Source organism: Homo sapiens, chromosome 10 (assembly GCF_000001405.40).
Source record: "Homo sapiens chromosome 10, GRCh38.p14 Primary Assembly".
Taxonomy (NCBI): domain Eukaryota; kingdom Metazoa; phylum Chordata; class Mammalia; order Primates; family Hominidae; genus Homo; species Homo sapiens.
The window spans coordinates 121,002,274-121,026,164 of NC_000010.11; the positions used below are offsets into that span (position 1 = coordinate 121,002,274).

Sequence of the window (23,891 nt, forward strand, 5' to 3'; positions counted from 1 at the left end):
CATGTCTGCTGAGCTCTAACCCCAGAGGTTGTGATTCTTGGGAACTATATCAGGGCCCAGGAATTTGCATCTTAACAGGCTCCCCAGGGAATTCTGATGCTGGTGGTCTGGGCATTGCACTTGGAGAAGCTCTGAATGAAACCATTGCAGAATGAATGCAAACTTTTTAAGTGAAAAAGGAGGTGGAAAATATACTTAGAGAGGTGGTGGCGGTGGGAAGGGATGCTGGGGGTGGGAGGGTGCCGGGAATTAACATACATGGAGCTCCGGCTAGGAGCTGGTTACTTTTGATATCTCATCACCTTTGGGCCCTACAACAGCCTTGCAACAGACACCTTATTTGCCCTTTTCACAAAAGAAGGAAGCAAAAGTCCAAGGAGGTTAAGAGACATACCCAAGTTTTCATGGACTGTCAGTAAAGACCTGGAATTTGAAGCTACATCTGCCTGATTCCAGAAGCTTTCACAACCTGCCTTGCCCCACTGATGACTCAGAAGGTACCAGCTACCGGATGCTTTTATACAGGGCTGGGCACAGAGTCAGCTTTCAAAACATACCTGCTAGATGAATGAAGAACGAGTGAATGAATGAGAAAATGAAATAATAAAACTGCTTTGAGATCATGGAAAGTAGCCCAAGAGGTTCCCTCTGTGACCTCATGCTCAAACTTCCTCTCCCACTGTTTCTTTAATCTGAAAGGTGACTCCACTAAATTTGCCCCGTTGATAAGGCCATGCAGCTCACCTGCACCTGTTATCAGCAACCTGAATCCAAACAGGAAGCCAAGGCTGAGATAAGATCGAGGAAGGCAACGCCTGGAATCATTACAAGGCTGGAATTAGTTTGTTGCCATAAGTAATCTATTGAGCACCTCCTAAGTGCCAAGCTCTGTGCCAGGCCCCAAGGATAACGCAGGAAACCAGGCAGTCCCTGCCCTTGAATGTCTTACAATCTACTGGGGAAGGAAAGTGGGTGTTGAAGAAATAATTACGAATGGGATGAGTGATACAGAAAGGAAGAAGTATGAGGCCAGGCAGTCACAGCAAACCTTCCTGAGGACACACCCTGTAGGCTGGGAGCTGAGCAATGAGGAGCTAGCCAGTTCTTGAAGCTAGGGGAGCCACCTACCGCTCTTCACATCACAACTATCCCAGAGCAAAAAGGTGCTTGCTTTTGTGTTTCTTGCCCCTGCTCAAAATGGCTTTCCACAGGCGATTACCCATGGTCAAGCTTTGCTTTCTCTCTGCTTCTACTCTCCTGCATTACCAGGGTTTTTCCTCCAGCAATAATGGCCAAGCCCTGCACTTTTCACTCAGGCCTCCTGCTGCCTCTCCCAGCTGCCTTCAGCCAGTGTCTGCCGAAGCCCCCTTGTAGCGGCCTAGGCAGTTGATTTCTAAACTTTTTTTTCTTTTTTGTGAAAATTATTTTTATAGAGTTCGAAAGTACACGTGCAGTTTTGTTACATGGAGATAGTGTGTAGTGAATGAAGTGTGGGCTATTAGTGTAACCATCACCCAAATAGTGTACATTGTAGCTATTAGGTAGTTTCTCATTCCCCACCACCTCCCACCTTTCTGAGTTTCCAATGTGTATTATTCCACTTTATATGTCCATGTGTACACAGTTTAGCTCCCACTTATAGGTGAGAACATGCAGTATTTTACTTTCTGTTTCTTAGTTATTTCACTTAAGATAATGGACTCCAGTTCCATCCACATTGCTGCAAAAGACATGATTTCATTCTTTTTATAGCTGCATAGTATTTTGTGGCGTGTGTGTGTATGATGTTGGCTACGGGTTTGTTGTATATGACTTTGCTTATTTTAGGTTATGTTCCTTTGATGCCTACTTTGTTGAGTTTTTATAATGAAGGGATGCAGAATTGCATCAAATGCTTTTTCCATATGTTTTGAGATGATCATATGGTTTTTCCTCTTATTCTGTTTATGTGATGAATCACATGTATTGATTTGTGTATGTTGAACCATCCTTGCATCCCTGAAATAAAACCCACTTGATTGTGGCTTATTATCTTTTTGATGTGCTGTTGGATTCAGTTTGTTAGTTTTTTGTTGTTGTTGTTGTTTTGTTGAGTATTTTTGAGGATCTGTGTTAATCAGGGATATTGGTCTGTAGTTTTCTTTTTTTGTTGTGTCCTTGCCTCATTTAGGTATCATGGTGATACTGGCTTCATAGAATGAGTTAAAGATAATTCCCTCCTCCTTGATTTTTTTGGGACAGTTTCAGTAGCATTGGTATCAGTTCTTTGTATACATGGTAGAATTCAGCTGTGAATCCATCTGGCCCTCGGCCTTTTTTTTTTTTTTGGTTGAGGGATTTTTTTATTATTATTACTGATTCAATCTGACTACTTGTTATCGGCCTGTTATTTGCTCTCTATTTCTTCCTGATTCGTTCTTGTGAGGTTGTGTGTTTGTAGATGTTTATCCATTTCCCCTAGTTTTCCAGTTTGTGAAGATAGAGATGCTCGTAACAGTCCCTGATGCTCTTTTGTATTCCTGTGGTATCAGTTGTAATGTCTCCTTTTCATCTCTGATTTTACTTATTTGAATCTTCTCTCCTCCTGATTAGTCTAGCTAGTGGTCTATCAATTTTGTTTATTTTTTCAAATAACCAACTTTTTGTTTCATTGATCCTTTGTATTTTTTGTCTCAATTTCATTTATTTCTTCTCTTTGTAATTCCTTTCCTTCTGCTAGCATTGTGTTTGGTTTGTTTGTTTGTTTGTTTTTGTTCCTTGTGGTGTGACATTAGGCTGTTAATTTGTGTTCTTTTTATTTTTGTTCTGTAGGCATTTACCGCTATAAACTTTCCCCTAAGCACTGCCTTTGTTGTATCCCAGAGGTTGTGATATGTCGTGTCTCCATTTCCATTTGTTTCAAAAATTTTTAAATTTTCATCTTAATTTCATTGTTAACACAAAGATCATTCAGGAGCAGGTTGTTTAATTTCCATGTATTTTTATTGTTTTCATAGTTTCTCTGGGAATTGATTTCTAGTTTTATTCCACTGTGGTCTGAGAAGATACTTGATAAGATTTCAATTTTTTGAAATTTATTGAGACTTGTTTTGTGGCCTAACATATGCTCTATCTATACAGTTCTATGCACTGTATATTCTGCAGTCATTGGGTAAAATGTTCTGTAAATGTCTGCTAGGTCTATTTGGTCTAGATGCCTAATTAAGTCCAGTGTTTCTTTGTTGAATTTCTATCTCATTGATCTGTCTAGTGTTGTCAGTGGGGTGTTGAAGTGCCCCACTATTATTGTATTTCTGTCTGTCTCTTTTCTTAGGTTTAATATTTAATAGTATTTGTTTTATGAATCTGGCTGCATTGGTGTTGGGTTCACATATATCTATGATTGTTATAACTTCCTGGTGAATACATTCTTTTATCATTATATAATGACTGTCTTTTTTTTTTCTTACTGTTGTTGATTTAAGGTTTATTTTTATTTTATCTGATGTAAGTATAGCTTCTCCTGATTGATTTTGGTTTCTGTTTGCATGGAATATCTTTTTCTACCCCTTTACTTTGAGTCTATATGCCTTTACCAGTTATGTGGGTCTCTTGTAAGCAGCATATGTTTAGATATATTTTTAAATCAATTCCAACAATCTATATATTTTAAGTGCATTTGATCCACTCACAATCAAAGTTAATACTGATGTATGAGTATTTGCTCGTCATAATGTTGTCACCTAACTGCGTTGTAGTCTCATTTGTGTAATTGTTTTATAAGACCTGTGATTTTTATACTTTTATGTGTTTTTGTAATGTTAAGTATCAACCTTTTGTTTACATGTTTAGAACTTCCTTGAGCATTTCTTGAAGGACTGGTCTAGTGATAACAAATTCTCTTAGTGTTTGCTTGTCTGGGAGATACTTTATTTCTTCTTCATTTATGAAGCTTAATTTAGCAGAATACAAAATTCACGGTTGAGAGTTTTTCCTTTAAGTCTGAAAATTGAACCCCAATTTCCCCTGGTTTGTAAGGGTTCTGCTGAGAAATCTGCTGTCTCATGGAGTTTCCTTTATAGGTGATTAGACACTTTCCTCTTGGTGACTTTAGAATTTTTCCCTTACTTTGGCTTCAGATAGTGTGATGACTATATGTCTTGGTGAAGTATATCTTGCAATGTATTTTATTGGAGTTTTCTGAGCCTCTTGTATCAGGATACTAAATCTCTAACAAGACTAGGGAAATGTTCCTCAGTTATTTCCTCGAATAGGTTTTTCCAACATTTTTTCTTCTGACTCAAGTATACCTATGACTTGTAGGTTTGGACGTTTTACATAATCCCATACTTCTTGAAGGCTTTGTTCATTTTAAAAAAACTTTTTATTTTTGTCTGACTGGGTTAATTCAAAAGACTTGTTTTCAAGCTTGGAGATTCTTTTTTCTGCTTGGTCTAGTCTATTATTAAAGCTTTCAACTGTATTTTGTAGTTTCTTCAATGAATTTTTCATTTCCAGAAGTTCTATTTGTTTTTGTCTTTTAAAATATCTATGACTTTGGTTAATTTTTCATTTATATTCTGAATTGTTTTTCTGATTTCTTTATATTGTTTTCAACTTTCTCTTGGATCTCACTGAGCTTCTTTAAAATCAGTATTTTAAATTATTTACTTGGTATTTCAAATATTTCATTTTGGTTAGGATCCATTGCTAAAGACTCAGTGTGTTCCTTTGTGGGTGTTGTAACAGTTTTTTCATACTTTCACAATTGTTTCTCTGCCCTTCTCATCTGAATAAACTATCTCTTTTTATTATTTTTTAATTTACTTTCATCTGGATAGGATTTTTCCCTCCTTGATGTTGTGTAGGGTCGTTTGGCTTTGGTTCTGAGTGCTTTCATTGGCCATGACTCTATATGAGTTCCTTGGTTATAGATAGCCATTGTGTGGTGGCTTTCTCATATTCTGGTTGTAGTAGTAATATACTGGACATGTAAGCAGGCTCACAGCCTCCTGCAGAGCCAGGGTGGCAGAGGTCTCAGGAAGTATACCTGTTCTCCAGTGCACACGTGTCAGCAGCTTCTGTGTGTGGTAAGATTTTGTGGGTAAGAGCTGGCTTCAAGAGAAGCAGATGGTATATGCTTGATTTTGTTTACTGGGAAAGTCTCTCTGTTGCCTCAGGCAATGGGCTGATCTGTGGAATGTAAAGTGGCCTGAATTGCCTGCTCAGCCCCAGATGCAGGGAGAGGGGAATAAAGCTGAGTGGAGCTGGACTGCCAAGCCTACCACTTGGATACTCCAATGGTGAGCAAAAGCACTAGCCCTGATGGGGGTGGTGGGGGAGCTCCCGGTGAAATGCACCAAGGTCTCCATGGTGGGGGTAAGGAGGCTACCCCAGATCCACAGCCTGAGCAAGCAGGAACATGGTCCACTACCTTGTCACTGATTGCTAAGCTTTCAAGGATTTTGTGAGCTGGCTAAACAAAGCTATATTAAAAATTAAGTTAGACATACAATTAAATAAATCATACTATATTTTATTAAAGTCAAAGGTCATAAATACTCAAAACTCATTACTTCCTAAGTATTTTACTCCTATTATTTATGTTCTGGAGGAAATTTACATCTATTGTATCTGTATAGTATTTAACAATGGTATATGTACAGTGGTATATGTAACAGTGGTACTGTGCATCTCTTCCCAATTCTGCATTCAGTGACATGAACTTAATAGTTACAAATGGCCATGATGGGAGTATTTATACCACAGGAATTGGTGTAAGTTGTTTTGTTTATTGTCTGAATTTAACAAAGTGTTGAGAAAAATCTAATAATATAATTAAATTATATAATTAAACTTAAAAGTGTGTCCTATATAGCAGTTTTCTAGCATTAGACAACTATTATCGGATTCAGCAAAGAAGTTGCTCACATCACTGAGTGAAGTTTCAACATATATCTTAACTATTTCATTTTTGTCTCATGAAAATACCAACCAATCAACATTCATTAGTTGTACATTCATTGGAATTTTTCAATGATGTGACTGATTTTGCTCATTAAAATAGTCATCAGGCATTTATTCATAGTCTGATTTTGTCACAGTATGGAGTTGCAAATTATAAAAACCATAAATTTTCCATGAAATAGGAAGTCACACTGAAGATATGACTTTATATAGGTATATAGAATTTTCAATTAAGATTATTGGATATTTTTATTGTTTATAAATTCTGTGCTGCAATTCTTTTTTTTTTTTTTTTTTTTTGTGAGACAGAGTCTGGCTCTTTCACCCAGGCTGGAGTACAGTGGCATGATCTTGGCTCACTGCAACCTCCACCTCCCAGGTTCAAGTGATTTTCCTGCCCAGCTAATTTTTGTATTTTTAGTAGAGATGGGGTTTTGCCATGATGGTAAGGCTGGTCTCAAACTCCTGGCCTCAAGTGATCCACCCACCTCGGCCTCCCAAAGTGCTGGGATTACAGGTGTGAGCCACGGCACCTGGCCTGTAATTCTTTATGTCAGTTCAATTTATGATAAACTTATGTTCATATGTACATATACTTTCTTTTTTCAAAAACTGGGTTGTCCTTAGCCCTTCTGCCCTGTTTTCTCTCCTGTAGCCTGAAGTGTTTGGAGAATTCCACCCAATTATGTTGAGGAGCTACTTCTCTGCCCAGGCAGGTCTCTATCCATTTCTAACATTTTCCTTCATGGGTTCACAAACCAGTTTTCATTTTAAAGGTAAGCCTTCCCTCTCCTCCACTTTTAAAATATTTAAAACTCACAACATTTAAATAAAGGAAAATATAGGTAAATAATGGGGAAGCCCCATGGCCAAGAGCAAATCTGAAGCATCGTGGCTGCAGGCCCTTCATGGCCAGCATTTTTCCCTGGCTCTGAAGTACATTGGCTGGGAATTCTGGAGTACTGGCACTGTGACCCAGACACCATACCTGGGCCTCTGCATCTGCCATCTTCTTTCAGACTTTTCACTGGGAAAGCCTGAGGGGCTGTCCCTCTCCTGTATTGTTTGCTTCAAGGTCCAGCTCACTTCTTTCAGAAGTTTCTAGACCTTTCTAGAAAAGACTGAGAAGGTTCAAGGTGTACAGGGCTAATAATACTATCACGGAGCTGAATCTGAGGTAAGATGTCTGCCACCTACCATTTTTATTATCCCGGGTACCACAGGATTCTCTCATTGTAATGTTTGATTATATAATTGGGTCTCCCTAGACATTGCCAGAAATACCTGAAGTCTTATGTGGGTCAGGAGTCCATGGTAGTCAGAAGTAAGACATTTGGCTTTTAGTTCAGTGACTCAGGGGAACATGGAACAGATATGAGTTACAGCTACTGGGCACCTGACACTTTGCTCAGACATTTAATGGGTTCCCACTTAATCCTTACTGAAACCCCATGAAGTGGATCCTATGACTATGCCTGTAAACAGATGAGGACAACAGGGCTGAGAGAGTTAACTCAATGTGCTGGAGTCCCACAGGTGATGAGTGGAGACTCAGGTTACAAACTTGTTCTCTCCCCTGGTCCTGCTGACTTGCTGCCCAGTTTGTCACACCCTCTGGCCTATGACCTCTCCCACTGTGGCCACAAGTGCACTTCTGTAGGTATCAGGACCAGATGGGACCAATGACTTGAAAGAAATCACTCTGCCAGATATCAGAAAATCTGATCAAAATGTGAGCAAATGAAAGCAACTTAATCATTTTCTCTGACTTAGTTTTTCTGTTTGTAAAATAGGTTGTTAAGAAGTCTAAGCGAGAAAATCTGCAGAGTGCCTGACACACAGTTCTGTAGGGTCAACTTTAATTAATCCTACATGAGATGGCACTCATAAACCACAAAGAAGAGAGACTGCCACATACGGTGTGTTCAATAAGTAATTTTCCTTGTTATTACTAATATTTTCTGACCTTTATTAGAACAATACTGAACCTCCTGCTTCTAAAATACCCACCCGCTGTAGAAGTTCCAGTAGCTGTCCTGCTTTTCCAGGACACACTGGGTTACAAATCAGGCATCTGTGGACCAGTTTAGGATCCTACCTATAATCTTTAATATTATTTGTACTGGAGTAGAAGTGTGTTCTGAGTTCCAAGTAACTGACTTATACGTTGTTTGAAAACAAAGCCCATTTGTAGCTATGAATACTCCATGGCCTTCAAACACTTGCAGCAGGGTCAGGGGGTGCACAGAATCCTTTGTTCAAATGACATCTTATATGTTAACCTAAGATATAAAACAGGTTCTGCAATGAGCAAGTACAGTTGAGGAAGAGGGGGTAGAGGTGGCCTAGAGCCTGCACCCCTCACCAGAGTCCTGCCAAGCATGGTATAAGACTCATCTCATACTATTATCAGCTTGAACTTCTAAAGACAAGCCGGATTATTTGGTTTATTGAGAATGGTTATGTGTCCATCATACGGGGCTACTTACGACACATGAAATGCCTTTAGCTGGAGGCTCTGTCTTATTTTTAATATGCCTCTGTTAAGCAGAAGTAATCATTTCATGATCATGGCAAGTTAATGGGGTTACTTTGCTGAACCCTGAGATATTACCAATATTACTTCCCATGGATCAAACAAAGTAGATCAAAGTCAAAGTTTTCAAAATCCTCCTGCAAAAGGAAATTTCTCCAGGCAAAACTTTGAGGTTTTCACAGTTTTGAAAAGTAGCCTTGACTCTCTTCTAGTCACGACAATATAAAAATCCTTTTATTTGTGCCAGGCAGGAATATATTTCTCCTCAGAAACTATTTTATAGATTACAGGTCATTTTCTACTTTCTTTTTTATTCCTGTAGTAATTATCTTCCTTTAAGAAAATGTTAGCACAGCGTTCAGTAGGCATGTTGAGGCAGATAAGCCGTGCAAGCCAACCCAGCTATAGAACAGAGTTGTTTCTGCAAGCCTTCTAAATCCCAGGACCCACATAGTTAAATGTCAGGGCAGCATTGCATTCAAGAAGCCATAGTCTTGTGGCCAAAAAAGTAATTAAAAAGGAATTCCAAACCCTACCAGGCCTCCTCAAAACTGGGACAGGGATCCAAATTCAGTCTACAGCAACAATTTCTTCTCTCACCAGCTCCCTGCACCCACCCACCTGCTAGGTTTCTGGAGCGTCTCTCTCTCCATAGGTCTTCTGTGCTTTTCTTCACACCAGCCCTGCACTGAGGTGGCAATTATAGGACTATCTTGGTTGGGCAAAGGAATGGTGGTGGGGAGGAAAGTCTGAATAGCCTCTCTTCACCTTAATAACTTTGGCCTGAGGTTTGCTGTGTTCTAAATTATATCCTCATTATTGCCTGATTTTGTGCAATAGTACAAATAGATTATACAACCTGGCGTACTTCACTGAACCAGCTAGTTCAGTGAAGCAATATTTAGTTCTGTTACTTTACAAGTTCTTAGTAGCCCAAATGGCAAAGAAAATCAGATCCCAGTAACAATAAGAGAATTATTATGACCACTCTTTCTCATAGGATAAATAAGAGACTCCATGTATTCTTCTATTTGCACGTTTAATCCATTGTCATTAAGGTTAAATTAAATAAAGTTATTACTCTGAAAATGCAATGAAAGACTTCTGGTTTCTAGTCTAACATGTAAGGAGATTGGAATAAACCACCTGATACTAACACGTAAAAAAGCTAAACAACTAGAAAAGTCAATGAATCTTAGATCTGTCAGAAAAGTAAGTGCACAGGGCAAAAAGCTGTCGCCCAAATTGGAGAGACAGGCAGGTGGATACAGAGAATCACAACTTATCAGAGTAGAAACCCACAAGCAGAAACTTCTCTGTGAACAAGTGCAAGGATAGGAAAACCTAATTGTAACTGAAAGTGTTGAAGGAAAAAACTCACCAACTAAGAATTCTACATCCTGCAAAATTATTATTCAATAGTAAAGGAGAAATAAGGACTTTCTTAGATAAACAAAAATTGAGGGAATTTGTTGCCAGTAGACCTGCCTTGCAGGAAATGTTAAAAGGAATTCTTCAGAGAGAAGGGAAATGATATAAGTCAGAAACAGGGATCTGAATAAAGGAAGGGCATCAGAAAATAATTAAGTGAAGGTAAAATGAAAACTTTTGTTTTTCTAATTCTTTTTTTTTTTTTTGAGATGGAGTTTTGCTCTTGTTGCTCAGGCTGGAGTGCAATGGTGCAATCTCAGCTCACCACAACCTCTGCCTCCCAGGTTCAAGTGATTCTCCTGCCTTAGCCTCCCAAGTAGCTGGGATTACAGGCATGTGCCACCATGCCTGGCTAATTTTGTATTTTTAGTAGAGATGGGGTTTCTCCATATTGGTCAGGCTGGTCTCCAACTCCTGAGCTCAGGTGATCCTCCCATCTCAGCCTCTAATTCTTAATTGATCTAACAGATAACAGTTTATTCAAAATAATATCACCAATCTACTCGATAATGTATGCTTACATTATATAAATATGTATTCCTATGTATGCTTACGTTATGTAATATATATATTCCTATGTATGCTTATGTATAAGTGAGAAGAATGACAGCAATGATACAAGAGATGGAAAGCAAGAATTAGGAATATTTTGTTATTATAAGATACTTACACTACCTATGAAGTGGTATAGTGTTATTCGAAAGTCGACCTGGATTAGCTGTAAAGGGATAGGGCAAACTCTAGGGCAACCATAAAAAAAAAAAAAAAGAAGCATAACTGACATACTAAGAAAAGAAAGAAAATGGGATCATATGGAATGTTCAATTAGAATTACAAAAGGCAGAAAAAAGTGTAGAAGACAAAAAAAGGAGTGAAGAAAAAGGGCACTAAATAGAAAACAGTAATAAAGATGGTAGATGATAATTCAACTATATCAATAATCATTTCAAATATCAGTGTCTAATACAGCAATTAAAAGACAGAGATTGTCAGAGTGAATCCAAAACAAAACTCAACTATATCATGTCTACAAGAAACCCACTTTAGCTATGAAGACACATATATATTAAAAGTAAAGGAATGGAAAAAGATATACCATGTTAACACTAATCAAAAGAAAGTAAGAACAGCTTATTAATTTCAGACAGACCCAACTTTAGAACAAGAAAAGTAATCAAGCAGGAAAAAGAGGAGCATTACATAGGGATAAAAGGTCAATATTCCAGGAAGACATAACAATCTTTAATGTGTATGTACCTAACAAAAAGAGTGTCAAACTCCATGAGGCAAAAAATGACTGAACTATAAAGAGAAATAGATGAATCCATTACTATAGTTGCATACTTCTACACTCCTCTACCAGAAATGGACAGATACAGCAGGCAGAAAATCAGTAAGGACATAGCTAAACATAATACCACCATCAAAACACTGGATATAATGGAAAGCTATAGACTACTTCATCTAAAACCAGCAAATTATATATTTTCTTAAGCTCACATGGGGCCTTCACTGAGATAGACCACATTCTGGGGCCATAAAACCCATCTTAACGTATATAAAGCAATAAAAATCATACAATCTCTGCTTTCAGTCAACAGTGGAATTAAACTACAAGTCAATAACGGAAAGTTAAAAAAATCCCAAAATACTTGGAGATGAAGCAAGACTTTCAAATAACACATGGATCAAAGAAGAAATGGCATGAGAAATTTAAAAAAACATTTTGAAGTAAGTAAAAAGAAAATACAACTTAGCAAAACTTGTGGGATGTACCACAAGCAGCATTTAGAGGAAAATTAATGCCATTAAATGTATATATCAGAAAAGAAGAAAAATCTGAGATTAATAATAATTTAACCTTCCATCTTAGGAAATGAAATGAAGAACAAATTAAATCCACAATAAGCAGAAGAAAAGAAATACTAAAAACTAGAGCAGAAATCAATGAAATTGAAAACAATAAATCAACAGAGAAAGTTAACAAAACCCAAAACTCATTCTTTGAAAAGATCAATAAAATCAATAAATTTCTAGCTAAGCTAACTAAGAATAAAATAAAGAAGACAGAAATTAATCATATTAGAAATTAAGTTGGGCATGCTGGCACATGCCTGTAGTCCCAGCTACTTGGGAGGCTGAGGCAGGAGGATCACTTGAGCCCAGGAGTTCCAAGTTTCAGTAAGCTATGATCATGCCATTGAACTCCAGCCTTGGCAACAGAGTGAGACCCTGTCTCTAAAAAAATAATAATAATAATAAACATTACCTATGTAACAAACCTGCACATTCTTCACATGTATCCTGGAACTTTAAATAAAATAACAATTTAAAAATAATAATAAAATACAAAAGAAATTAAAGAGGGGACATCACCTTAGATCTCATAGATCTTAATAGGATAATAAAGGAATATTATGAATAATTTTATATCCACAAATTTGATAACCTATGTAAAATGAAGTAATTCCTTTGTCTCAGTCTATTTTGTGTTGCTATAGCAGAATACTAGAGACTGGTAATTTGTTAAAAAAAAGAAAAGAAAAGATTTATTTGGCTTATCATTCTGATGGCTGGAAAGTTCAAGATTGATCATATGCAGAGATCACATGATGAAAGAGGAAGCAAGAGAGAGGGGAAAGTTGCCAGGCTCTTTTTAACAACCATCTGACAGGAAATAATAGAGGGAGAACTCACTCACCCCTGAAGGAAGGCATTTATCTATTTATGAAGGACCTAACCCCATGATCCAAACACCTCCCATGAGGCCCTACCTCCAATACTGGAGATCAAATTTCATACAACAGTACAAGGGTACAAAAATCTAAACCACAGCATTCCTTGAAAGACAAAATCTGACAAAATTCACACAAGAAAAATAGACAATCTGATTAGAGCTACTGTTACATAAATTAAATCAATAATTAATAACATTTTAAAACATAAAGCACCAGGCCCAGATGGGTTACTGGTAAATTTTACCAAACACTTAAGAAAGAAATTATACTAATTCTCTACATTATTTTTCAGAGGATGGAAGCAGAGAGAATACTTCCTAACTCATTCTGTGAGCCCAGCATTACCTTAATATCAAAACCAGACAAAGACATTACAAGAAAAGAAAACTGCATACCAGTATCTCTCTAAAACACAGATGCAAAACCTTTAACAAAATATTAGAAAATCAAATCCAAATATTTATACGAAGAATTGTGCACCATGACCAAGTGGGATTTATTTCAGAGATGCAAGGCTGGTGCAACATTTGAAAATCAATTAACATAATTCACCACAGAACATCCTGAAGAAGAAAAAAATCACACAATCATATCAACAGATACAGAAAAAGCATTTGACAAAACCTGACACCCATTTATAATAAAAACTCAGCATGGCCGGGTGTGGTGGCTCACACCTGTAATCCCAGCACTTTGGGAGGCCGAGGCGGGCAGATCATGAGGTCAGGAGATAGAGACCATCCTGGCTAACACAGTGAAACCCTGTCTCTACTAAAAATACAAAAAAATTAGCCGGGCATGGTGGCAGGCACCTGTAGTCCCAGCTACTTGGGAGGCTGAGGCAGGAGAATGGCGTGAACCCAGGAGGTGGAGCTTGCAGTGAGTTGAGATTGCGCCACTGCACTCCAGCCTGGGTGGAGTGACTCCAGAGCGAGACTCCATCTCAAAACAAAACAAAACAAAACAAAACAAACAAACAAACAAAACCTCAGCAAACTAGGAAGAGGGAACCTTCCTTAACTTAATAAATAACACTGACAAGAAACTTCCCTCTAAGATCGGGAACAAGAAAAGGATATTGCCTCTTCCCTGCTTTTCAACATCATACTGGAAATTCTAGCTAATGCAATAAGGTAAGAAAAGGAAATAGGTATAAAGATTAGGAAAGAAGAAAGAAAACTATTTTTGTTTGCAGATGACATCATCATCTATGCAGAAAATTTAAAAGAACGGACAAAAAAACTCCTGGAACTAATAAGTAGTTATAGCAAGGTTGCAGGGTACAAAGATAATGTACAAAAGTCAATTACTTTTCTATATAGCAGCAATGAACAAGTAGAAGTTGAAATTAAAAACACATTACTGTTTACATTAGCAATCCCGCAAAGTACTTAAGTATAAATATAACAAAATATGTATAAGATCTACATTAAGAAAACCACAAAACTCTGATGAAAGATATCAAAGAATTAAATAAATGGGAGATGTTCAGTTCATGAAAAGGAAGTCTTAATATTTTTGATATGTTGGTTCTTCCCAGTTTTATCTGTGGATTCAACACAATACTAATTGAAATTGCAGCTAGTTATTTTGTGGATATTGACAAACTGGTGCTAAAGTTTATATGAAGAGGCAAAAGACCCAGAATAGCCAACTTAATATTGAAAGAGAACAAAGATGGCTTTGACACTACATGGCTTCAAGACTTTTTGTAAAACTAGTAGTCAAGGCAGGGTGTTATTGGTGAAAGAATAGGTAAACCAGTCAATGAAACATAAAAAAAGATCCGGAAATAGATCCACATAAATACAGTCAAAACAATCAATGAAGCAGAAAAAAATGATCCAGAAATAGGCCCATATAAATACAGTTGACCAAAAGCAAAGGAAAACCAATGGATCAAAGATAGAATTTTCAACAAATCGTGATAGAACAATTGGATATCCACATGTAAAAATAATGAATCTAGACACAGAACTTACACCCTTATAAAAATTAACTCAAAATAAAATATACGCCTAAATTTAAAAACAAAACTATGAAACTCCTAAAACATAACATAGATGAAAATCTAGATGACCTTGGGTGTGACAATGACTTTTTAGACACAACACCAAAGGCACAATCCTTGAAAGAAATACATGGTAAGCTGGACTTCACTAAAATTAAAAACTTCTGTGAAAGACAATGTCAAGAGAATGAGAAGACAAGCCACAGGGTCAAAATATTTGCAAAGGATACATGTGTTAAAGGCATACTACCCAAAATATTCAAAGAACAACTAAAACTTACCAAGAAGAAAATGAACAAACCAATTAAATGATAGGCAAAAGACCTGAACAGACACCTTACCAAAGAAGATACTCAGATGGGAAGTAAATTTATGAAAAGCTGTTCAGCATCATATGTCATCAGGGAATTGCAAATTAAAGCAACAATGATATACCACTACATATTGATTAGAATGGCCAAAATCCAGAACATTGACATCACCAAATGTGATGAGGATGTGGAGCAACAGGAACTCTCATGCACTGTTGGTTGGAATGTATAAATGGTATAGCCATTTTGGAAGACAGCTTGGCAATTGCTAAGAAAACTAAAAATACTCTTACCATACAATCCAGTGATTGTACTCCCTTGTATTTTCCCAAGTAAATTTAAAACATATGCCCACACAAAAACCTGCACATGGATATTTATAGCAGCTTTATTCATAACTGTCAAAACCAAAATGTTCCTCAGTAAGTGAATGGGTAAATTGTGGTACATCTAAACAATGAAATATTATTTTGCACTAAAAAGGAATGAGCTAACAAGCCATGTAAAGACATGGAGAAAACTTAATCAATAATGCAAAGTAATAATTATTGCATATTGCTAATGAAAGAAGCCAATCTGAAAGCCTACATACTCTATGATTCCAACCATATGATATTACAGAACAGATAAACCTATTGAGACAGTGAAAAGATGAGTGGTTGCCAGTGGTTAGGGAAGATGAATAGGCAGAGCACAGAGGTTTTTAGGTCAGTTAAACTAATATGTGTGACACTACAGTGGTGGACACATGCCATTCATTTGTCAAAACCCATAGAATGTACAAAACTAAGTGTGAACCCTAATATAAACTATGTACTTTGGATGATAATGACATGTCAATGTAGGTTCACTGATTGTATAAATGTACCACTGTGGTATGGATGTTGATACTGAGAAGGTTATGCATGTGTGGGGGAAATGAATATATAGGAACTTCTGTACTTTCTGCCCAGTTTTGCTATGGACTTACACTACTCTTAAAAATAAATGTCATTGATTAAAGAATAGCTAGAGAAGACCAAAACCAAAGGGAGGAAACTGGATAGTGATTTGCAAAGTTCAGATTCTATATTTAGTTATTTCACTATCTAGATAACTTTGGACAAATCTTAACCTCATTCCATCTCAGTTTCCTTTCAAAATAAAGATTGTGAACTAGATAAACTCAAATATCCCACTAAGTCTTAAACTGTGTGATTCTATGTACCAGTATTTTTTAAAAGTGAATGCATTAGAATTCCACCAGAAATCCTAAATCAGAGACCAGTAGCAATATTGAAAGACATTCATATGTGAAATAAAATCAAGATGAAAACATAATTGAACATTCTCTCAAGCTAGTTTTATATTCTCCAATGTTCTGCCTACTACTGCTTGAGTAATGTTGTTGAATAAAAATTAAAAGGCCATAACAAAAAAAAATCCAGTGAGAGGCAGATGCTAGATAGTAAAACTGTAAATTCCTCTTTTTGCTCTGATGATGGGAAATTAGTGAAATTGTGAAAATTGACAATGATTTGGGGTAAGAAATACCTCTTAAATTTAATGATTGACCCCTAGAAATCAGAAAAGTTTTCAGAAAAGAAGTCAACTGGAAGACAAGTCAACTGGAAATTCCTATGAACAACTTCTAGACTATATTTTCATTTCTTGCTAATCATATTCTTATTTATTTAAAAATGAGACTTTATATATGCCAGTACTGAAGATTCAAAAGAATTGATAAAATAGTCCCTGGCTTCAAGAAGCTCCTACTCTGGTCTATAGTTATAGACCAGCATAGTTACAGACCAGCAGACTCCAGAATGCTGTGTTATAAGTAATCTGGAAGGAAGCTTGCATTGTGGAAGCACAAAGTGAGGAAAGATCAAGTCTTCCTGTAGGTAGAGGGTCAGGGGACACCACACCAAACAAAGAAGACTAGCAAGGATAAGTATGCATAATGGCTGAAAGGTATGAGTGTGCATGATGGCTTTAGGAAACTATGAATACCCAGTGAGGCTGAAATAAGGGAAGCAGCGAAATAAGATTGGGGGTGGAGGTGAGGATTTACAAGATGTTTCTGAAGGACAGGAGCAAAGTGGTCTGGCTGCAAGAAAAGGTTATGGTTAAAGGAATAAGGAAAACTAACATTAATTCTTTATCCTGTGAAACACAAATACCCAGTTAGTAGACTGGGCTCTACCACAATCTGAAGCCTTACCTCCTAGATCCTTGAGTGGCTGCCACCTCCACAAACTCCTTCGTTTTCTGTAACTCAAGAGAGAGCTCAGGAATCAAGGACTTGACACATGGCAGAGGCCCTAGGTGTCTTGAGCCAGGGAACCTCGGACTGGAAGGAGTATTCTATTTCCAAGTGGTGAGAAGGGGCCATAAAGAATTCAAATTTTTCCTCGATATTGAGTTCCTTGATGTTTGTAAAGTTTCACCTGTCCTTTAAAAAAGTTATAATTTGAAAGAAATAAATACTCAAGTCTCTATGTACATAGAATATCTTTTTCAGCAGTAGAATAGTAATCTCCACAAGACATTTTACAAGGAACTGAGGTAATACAAAGTACTATTTATTAAAAAATTGCCCCCACCTTTTTACTTTTACTTTTTACATTATCTTTATAATATCAGCTCGCCTTTTTTTCCCACTGTGCTTTTTAAAGACAAGACTAGAATAAGTGCAAAGAAATACACCACATTTAACAACATTTGAGTCTGTTAAGGGCACTGGCTTTCCGTTCTGGCATTAACATAATTTGATATTTGACCATGGGTAGGGCTTTTGACAGCTCTGAGCCTTGATTTCTCTATCAGGAAATAGATGAAGGTGATCTCTTAAGTTCCTTCCTGCTCAAATATCCTGTGGTCTTATCCATCTTTGCATCTCTTTTGAGAAGCATTGTGCTTGACGCATAGCAGATGCTTAATAAATATCTTGAGTAGATGAGTGTGGGGTAGTTTGCTGCTATTCTCAATAAAGAAAATGTAGTTGGAACTGCTTTGCTCCCACTTCTGTTGGTGCATGAAGGTTAGGATAAGCATATACCCTATCAAAGGGAATAGTCATTACTATTGTCTTACAGGCAATTGGCCTTGGTTTTCCACAACCAATTAAAACCCTTTTAAAATGCTATGGTGGCCAAAAAAATAAACAAACAAACAAACAAACACACTTCTGGGACCTGTATTGAACCCATACAGCAAATCTATCCTGCAAGAAGTTGAATGTATGGTTTGAATTTGGAAATGAGTATACTGTGCAGATGCAACTCACACCATCTTGTTTTTCAGAGGTGCGTGTGTACATATGTACTCACATGAACTCCTACCTGCTATGTGCCAAATCAACAGTCATGAGATGGCAATGATAATTTCCTATGAGGCACATCAGAGACTGGCAGAAATGATCCATGTAATGGATACTCTAAGATCCGAGAAGAACATTCCAGTGCAAAGGCACACAGTTAGATAGAGCATCCTGTTGGTTATGTGTCTCTCCTCAAACTCATATCAGTGTGCCTTGCACAGACTAAAATGCAAAGACATGAAATTGCAGCTGTTCAATCTGTAGTGGTAACTGGAAAGGCAAAGCCAAAGGGGCAAATCACAGCAATTCAGAGTTATACACATGAAGTCAGGAAGCAAGACAAGAGAGGACAGTAGGATGGCCAGGAGACAGAAGATGTACAAGAGAACTCATAAAAGATTTTAGTAATTACAACTTAAACATATGGAGAAATAGGGTAGGTATAGGGCCAATTCTTTCAAAGAGTTTAAGGTGCCATGTAAATCTTTAGAGAAACCATAGCATGAGTAGAAATCAATGGGCCCTTTCAGTCTGAAGACTAATGTCTTTCTCTAGCTCTGGGAAATATAAAAATATTTCCTCCTTTCAGTTTGTCCTCTCTTTTGTGGGTCTCTTATTAGAAAGAGTGGACCTCCTTTGGAGATTTAAGAATCTATCCTCAAAGACTCTTTCCTTTCTCATGCCTTCTGTCTCTTTGTCCTTTTGAACTGTGTTCTGAAAAAAAAAAGTCCTTCCATTTGATCCTCCAGCTTACTATTTAAGATTAAAATGTCAGTTAAACCTTTTAATTATGATCATCATAGTTTAACTCCCAAGAGCTCCAATTGTTTTATTCTATAGTGTGTTCTTGTTTTAGAGATGTAATATCCTCTCTTACTCCTCTGAATATTACATATTTTTTAAAAGTCTTCTTCTGTTTGTTCTATTAGCTCAATTTATTTAGTTTTTAGCGTTTTTGTTATTGAGTTTGTGGTTTCTCTTTCATGGTATTGGTTTTCTTCAATGGGTTCCTTGGTTGCAATTTAAGTTTTGTATCTGTGATCCACTAGGCCCCTGTCTCTCCATGCTCTTTCTGCGAACTGCACCATGCCTCTGGTGATGGAGGCCAGGTCAACTGAAGAGCAAATTGTATTAAGGGACATGTGCTGCCAGTAGCTTTTCATCTCAATTTACAAGTTCTCTGTTCTTTTTGAGTTTAAACTTTTATCAAAATTACATCTATATAATAGTTTGAAGACTCAAATAAGACTAGAAGCCATGTCACAAAAAGAGCAGTGCCCAGTGTCCCACCCTTTGACTTCTTGACCAGTAGGAGGCAACTATTTTAAGATGATTCTTTCGGCATTTATCACCTTATCTCTACGTAACTTGCTTATATTGGTACTTCTTGATTTTCTCCACAATTTCAGGCATTACAGTACCTATAGAATTCACACTATAAAATATGAGGGCTTAATCTCTCTTTCAACCCACCCTACCTATAGTCCCATAATTTACACACAACACAATGCACACAACAAATATACTCACATCCTCTCTGTTCCCCACTGTTTGAAATGTGGTTTCATTACATTTTACTTAGCTAAATATATGGTGCTGTCATTGTTATGACCGTGTAAATACCATGCACAACTGAGCCATAAACAGTAGTACACTATGATTGCTGTTATCTTTTGTGGCTTTTGTTTCCACTACTGTTAATTTTTTCTTTTATACTCTGTTTGCTCTTCTAAGAAGTTATCATTATTCAGACCCCAGACTTCCTACCATCTAAAGATCTCCTCAGTATGAATGGATGCATCAGGTATTTTACCAATTTCATCTTGAAGAAATTTCCTCTAGAGCTCCTGACCTATACCAATCTGGACTGGCTGCATTTCAGTCCGGTACACAGTTGCCATACTGGGACCTCCCTCTAACTGTATCTCGAAATCCCCTTTGCTGCTTTCTTGTGTTGGATTCCACTGTCTGTATCCCATAAATTCCTCTTTTTTTGGTTTACTTCTCCATTTTAGTGAAGCACATCTTCCAGTAAGTATCTGAGAAAGGATGCATGGCAGGTCAATAGTTGGGGAATCTCAGAGATCTCAAAAGTCTCTTTATTCTATTATCACATCTGTTTGATATTTTGGTTGAATATGGGATTTTAGGATGCACATAGCTTTTCTTCAAGATTTTAAAGGTGTTGCTACATTGCCTTCTTGTTTCCAATGTTGCTATTTGGAAGACTGAAGCCATTCTGATTCCTGATCCTTTATCAGGAACATTCTCCTTGCCCTTCTGAAAGCTTAGAGAATATTTTTTTTGTGTTCTGATATTTCACAATAATCAGTCTGGGCTTATTTTAAACCATTGTGTTGGAGACTTGTGAAATCATGACAATGTAGAAATTTATATTCCTTATTATAAGGAATGTCCTTGAATTATTTTATATTTAATTTCTTTGCTTTTATTTTCTGTTTTTGAAACTTGGATGATGAATTCTTTGAACCAGTCTTTAATTTTCTAATCTCTTTTCTATTTTCTATACTCCTGCCTTTTGCTCTACATTCTGGAAGATTTCCTCAAGTTTATTTTCCAACCTTTCTATTGGGTTTCAGAAACCTTGTGTGTGTATTTGTGTGTGTGTGTGTGTGTGTGTGTGTGTAAATATTCAAGAGCTCTTTTAATTTTCTGAACATTCTTTTTAAATTTCTTCCTGTTTTTCATTCATGGATTCAATATCTTCTCATGTCTCTGGGGATATTAATGTTACTTTTGAAGTCTTCTACCTGAATTTTTTCTATTTCCTCTCATTTGTTTTGTTGTTTTTTATTTTGACTTGAAAACTGGCACATAACAATTGTACATATTTGCAGTATATAGTGTGATGTTTTGATACATGTATACCTTGTGTAAAAATCAAATCAGGATATTTAGCATATCCATCACCTCATAGATTTATCATTTATTTGGGATGAGAACATTCAAAATCCTCTCTTCTAGCTATTGTGAAATATACAGTACAATATTGTTAACCATAGTCACCCTACTGCACTAGAACACCAGAACTTATTCCTGCTATCTGACTGTAACTTTGTACCTGTTTACCAACCTCTCCCCATCCTTATTCTCCCTTACCTCCCTTCCCCAGCCTTTGACAACCACCATTTTATTCTCTACTTCTTGAGATCAACTTCTTTTTCATTACAGGTTTTCCTTATATGTCTGATGATCCTGGTTTTCCTCCCATAACTAAGAGTGGGGCATAAAAAAGTTGATTGGCTTTGGGAGGCAAAGGTGGGTGGATAACCTGAGGTCGGCAGTTCGAGACCAGCCTGGCCAACATGGCAAAACCCTGTCTCTACTAAAAATACAAAAATTAGCTGGGTGTGGTAGAATGCACCTGTAATCCCAGCTACTTGGGAGGCTGAGGAAGGAGAATCGCTTGAACCTGGGAGGCGGAGGTTGCGGTGAGCCGAGATTGTGCCATTGCACTCCAGCCTGGGCAATGAGAGCAAAACTTTGTCTCAAAAAAAAAAAAAAAAAAAAAAGTTGATTGGAAAACATAACTTTGAAACGGAGCAACAAATTGGAAGGACTACACAGCCTGATTTCAAAACTTCCTATAAAGCCACAGCAATTAAGACAGTGTGGTATTAGTTAGACACACTGACAAATGAAAAAGTTAATACAGAAATTGAGCCACACATACAGGGTCAATTAATTTTTGACAAAATGCCAAGGTAATTCAAAGGGGGAAAGCATAGTCTATGCAAAAAAAGATGCTGGAATAACTACATATCCATACAGAAAAACAGAATGAACCTCAGCCTTTACTTGCCCACATATGCAAAAACTAACTTTAAGTGGATCATCGATGTAATAATAAAATCTAAAATTATTTAATAAAACTGCTATAATCATAGAAGGAAATCTTTTTGATCTTGGAAAAACTTCTTAAATAGGACACCAAAATCATAAACCATAATAAGTTAATAAATCAATTTCCTCAAAATAAAAAACTTCAGCTCCTTGAAAAACATCATTAATAAGTAAAATGCAAATATACACTAGAAGAAAATATTCACAATAAATATATCTGACAAAGGATTTAGATCCAGAATACATAAAGAATTCTTACAAGTCAGTAATAAAAAGACAAATAATCTAATTAAAAAATGGAATAATGTGTTCTTGCCACTGCTTCTGCTTTTTTCATAACACTTTCTGGATGTCCAGAAACCCAGTAGCATGGAAATTGAGCAACTTTATTTATTTCATATATTCTACCATTACTCAATGACATTCTACTTGAGACATAGATGCTTAATGAAGAGAAATGTAAGTAATTTGAAAAAAAAATTGAGCAACGGCCTGAACAGACTCTGCTCAAAAGAAGATATACAAAGAGCCCATAAACTCAGTAGAAGGCCCTGGAAGCCCCTGAGATCATTAGTCACTGGAGAAAAGCAACTGAAAACCACAGTCACACACACAATACCATTTAAACAGTGGCTTTGGTCTAATTGTGTGCCTTAAGATTTTGGTTTTGATCATTTTAAGAAGACATTTATAGTGCCTTGACATAGGCCAGTCACTGCGCTGCAGACAAATATCATGTCATTCCACAGTCATCAGCCCAGGGAGACAGTGCTAGTATTTTCCCAGTTTCACAGCTGGGAAACGGAGGCTCTGAGACGCTGAGTGACTTGTCCAAGGTTCTGAGACTTGGAAGGGCAATGTTGACATTTGGATCCAGGACTCCGAAAGCGTGTGTGTACAACTACCATGCCACCCTGCCTGCCCAGGTACCTCAGCCTTTCCTGGAGGACTTGGCAGCTCCTCAGCTTCTGTGGGTTTTTAGGAAGTGGCTCAGCAGCAGAGTGGGAGGCAGCGGGAACTCCCCATGGAGCAGCACTGGCCAGCAGCAGGGCCAGACTCATCCCCCACCTTCAAGGGCGGAAGCCAAGGCTGGAAAGACAGCTGTAAATCCCACAGCTACCTGCTGCCAAGCTGGTAGTGGGTGTAAGGAGGGGAGCAGGGAGGCTCTCGGGGTCCAAAAGCCAGTTCCCCTGGGCCAGTGTCCGTGATTCCAAAGGAGGGAGCTGATGGGGCATCCGGGAGCTGCCGGGGAGGAAGGGAGTGGAGAGATAGAGCACTATTCTGGGAATAGGAAAAAGATGTTGATTGGAAGCTCTGAGCCTGGGAATGAGGTGTGAAAGTGACAGGTTTCTTGCAAGGTGCTCAGGTCTTTTCTCTTGGGCCACTCACACTCTCTAGAGAAGGATCTTCCATCTTCTGCCTGGAGGTAATAGTTCTGCCCGCCAGAGTTCTAGAGACTGATTACAATTTTTCATTCATTTAGGTAAATGTTTATTTAACTTCCTGGAATGCCACTCCAACCCTCAACTCTCTCTGGTGTTCCCCCACATTCCATCCTAGCTACAGCTCAAGATTTCTGCTATGGCCGTAGCGATGGTGGCAGTGGCTCTAGGAAACTAATCACTTCTTAAATACTCAGTGTTTTGTGCTGCCTTCATCCCTCCTTCCAGAGGTACCTGACACTGCCAAGCCTGGCACATTTTTCCCTGTAAGTCAGGTTGTTTCCTGCCTTTTCCCATTTCGTCTTTAGGAG

At 37.5% G+C, this 23,891-nt stretch overlaps 1 long non-coding RNA gene across 1 annotated transcript in view, besides 2 other annotated features; it reads right to left on the reverse strand.

Moving 5' to 3' along the window:
- The window catches only part of LOC105378521 (uncharacterized), a 78,111-nt gene that overhangs the window by 2,908 nt on the left and 51,312 nt on the right, over positions 1 to 23,891 (reverse strand). The window lies entirely within an intron of this gene.
- Positions 22,638 to 23,138: an enhancer, noted in NCBI's record as "H3K27ac hESC enhancer chr10:122784424-122784924 (GRCh37/hg19 assembly coordinates)". NCBI's record gives its function as "activates a minimal SCP1, AML or CMV promoter by ChIP-STARR-seq in primed H9 embryonic stem cells {active_cell/tissue: H9 hESC(primed)}" and the evidence as "EXISTENCE:reporter gene assay evidence [ECO:0000049][PMID:30033119]".
- Positions 23,139 to 23,639: an enhancer, noted in NCBI's record as "H3K27ac hESC enhancer chr10:122784925-122785425 (GRCh37/hg19 assembly coordinates)". NCBI's record gives its function as "activates a minimal SCP1, AML or CMV promoter by ChIP-STARR-seq in primed H9 embryonic stem cells {active_cell/tissue: H9 hESC(primed)}" and the evidence as "EXISTENCE:reporter gene assay evidence [ECO:0000049][PMID:30033119]".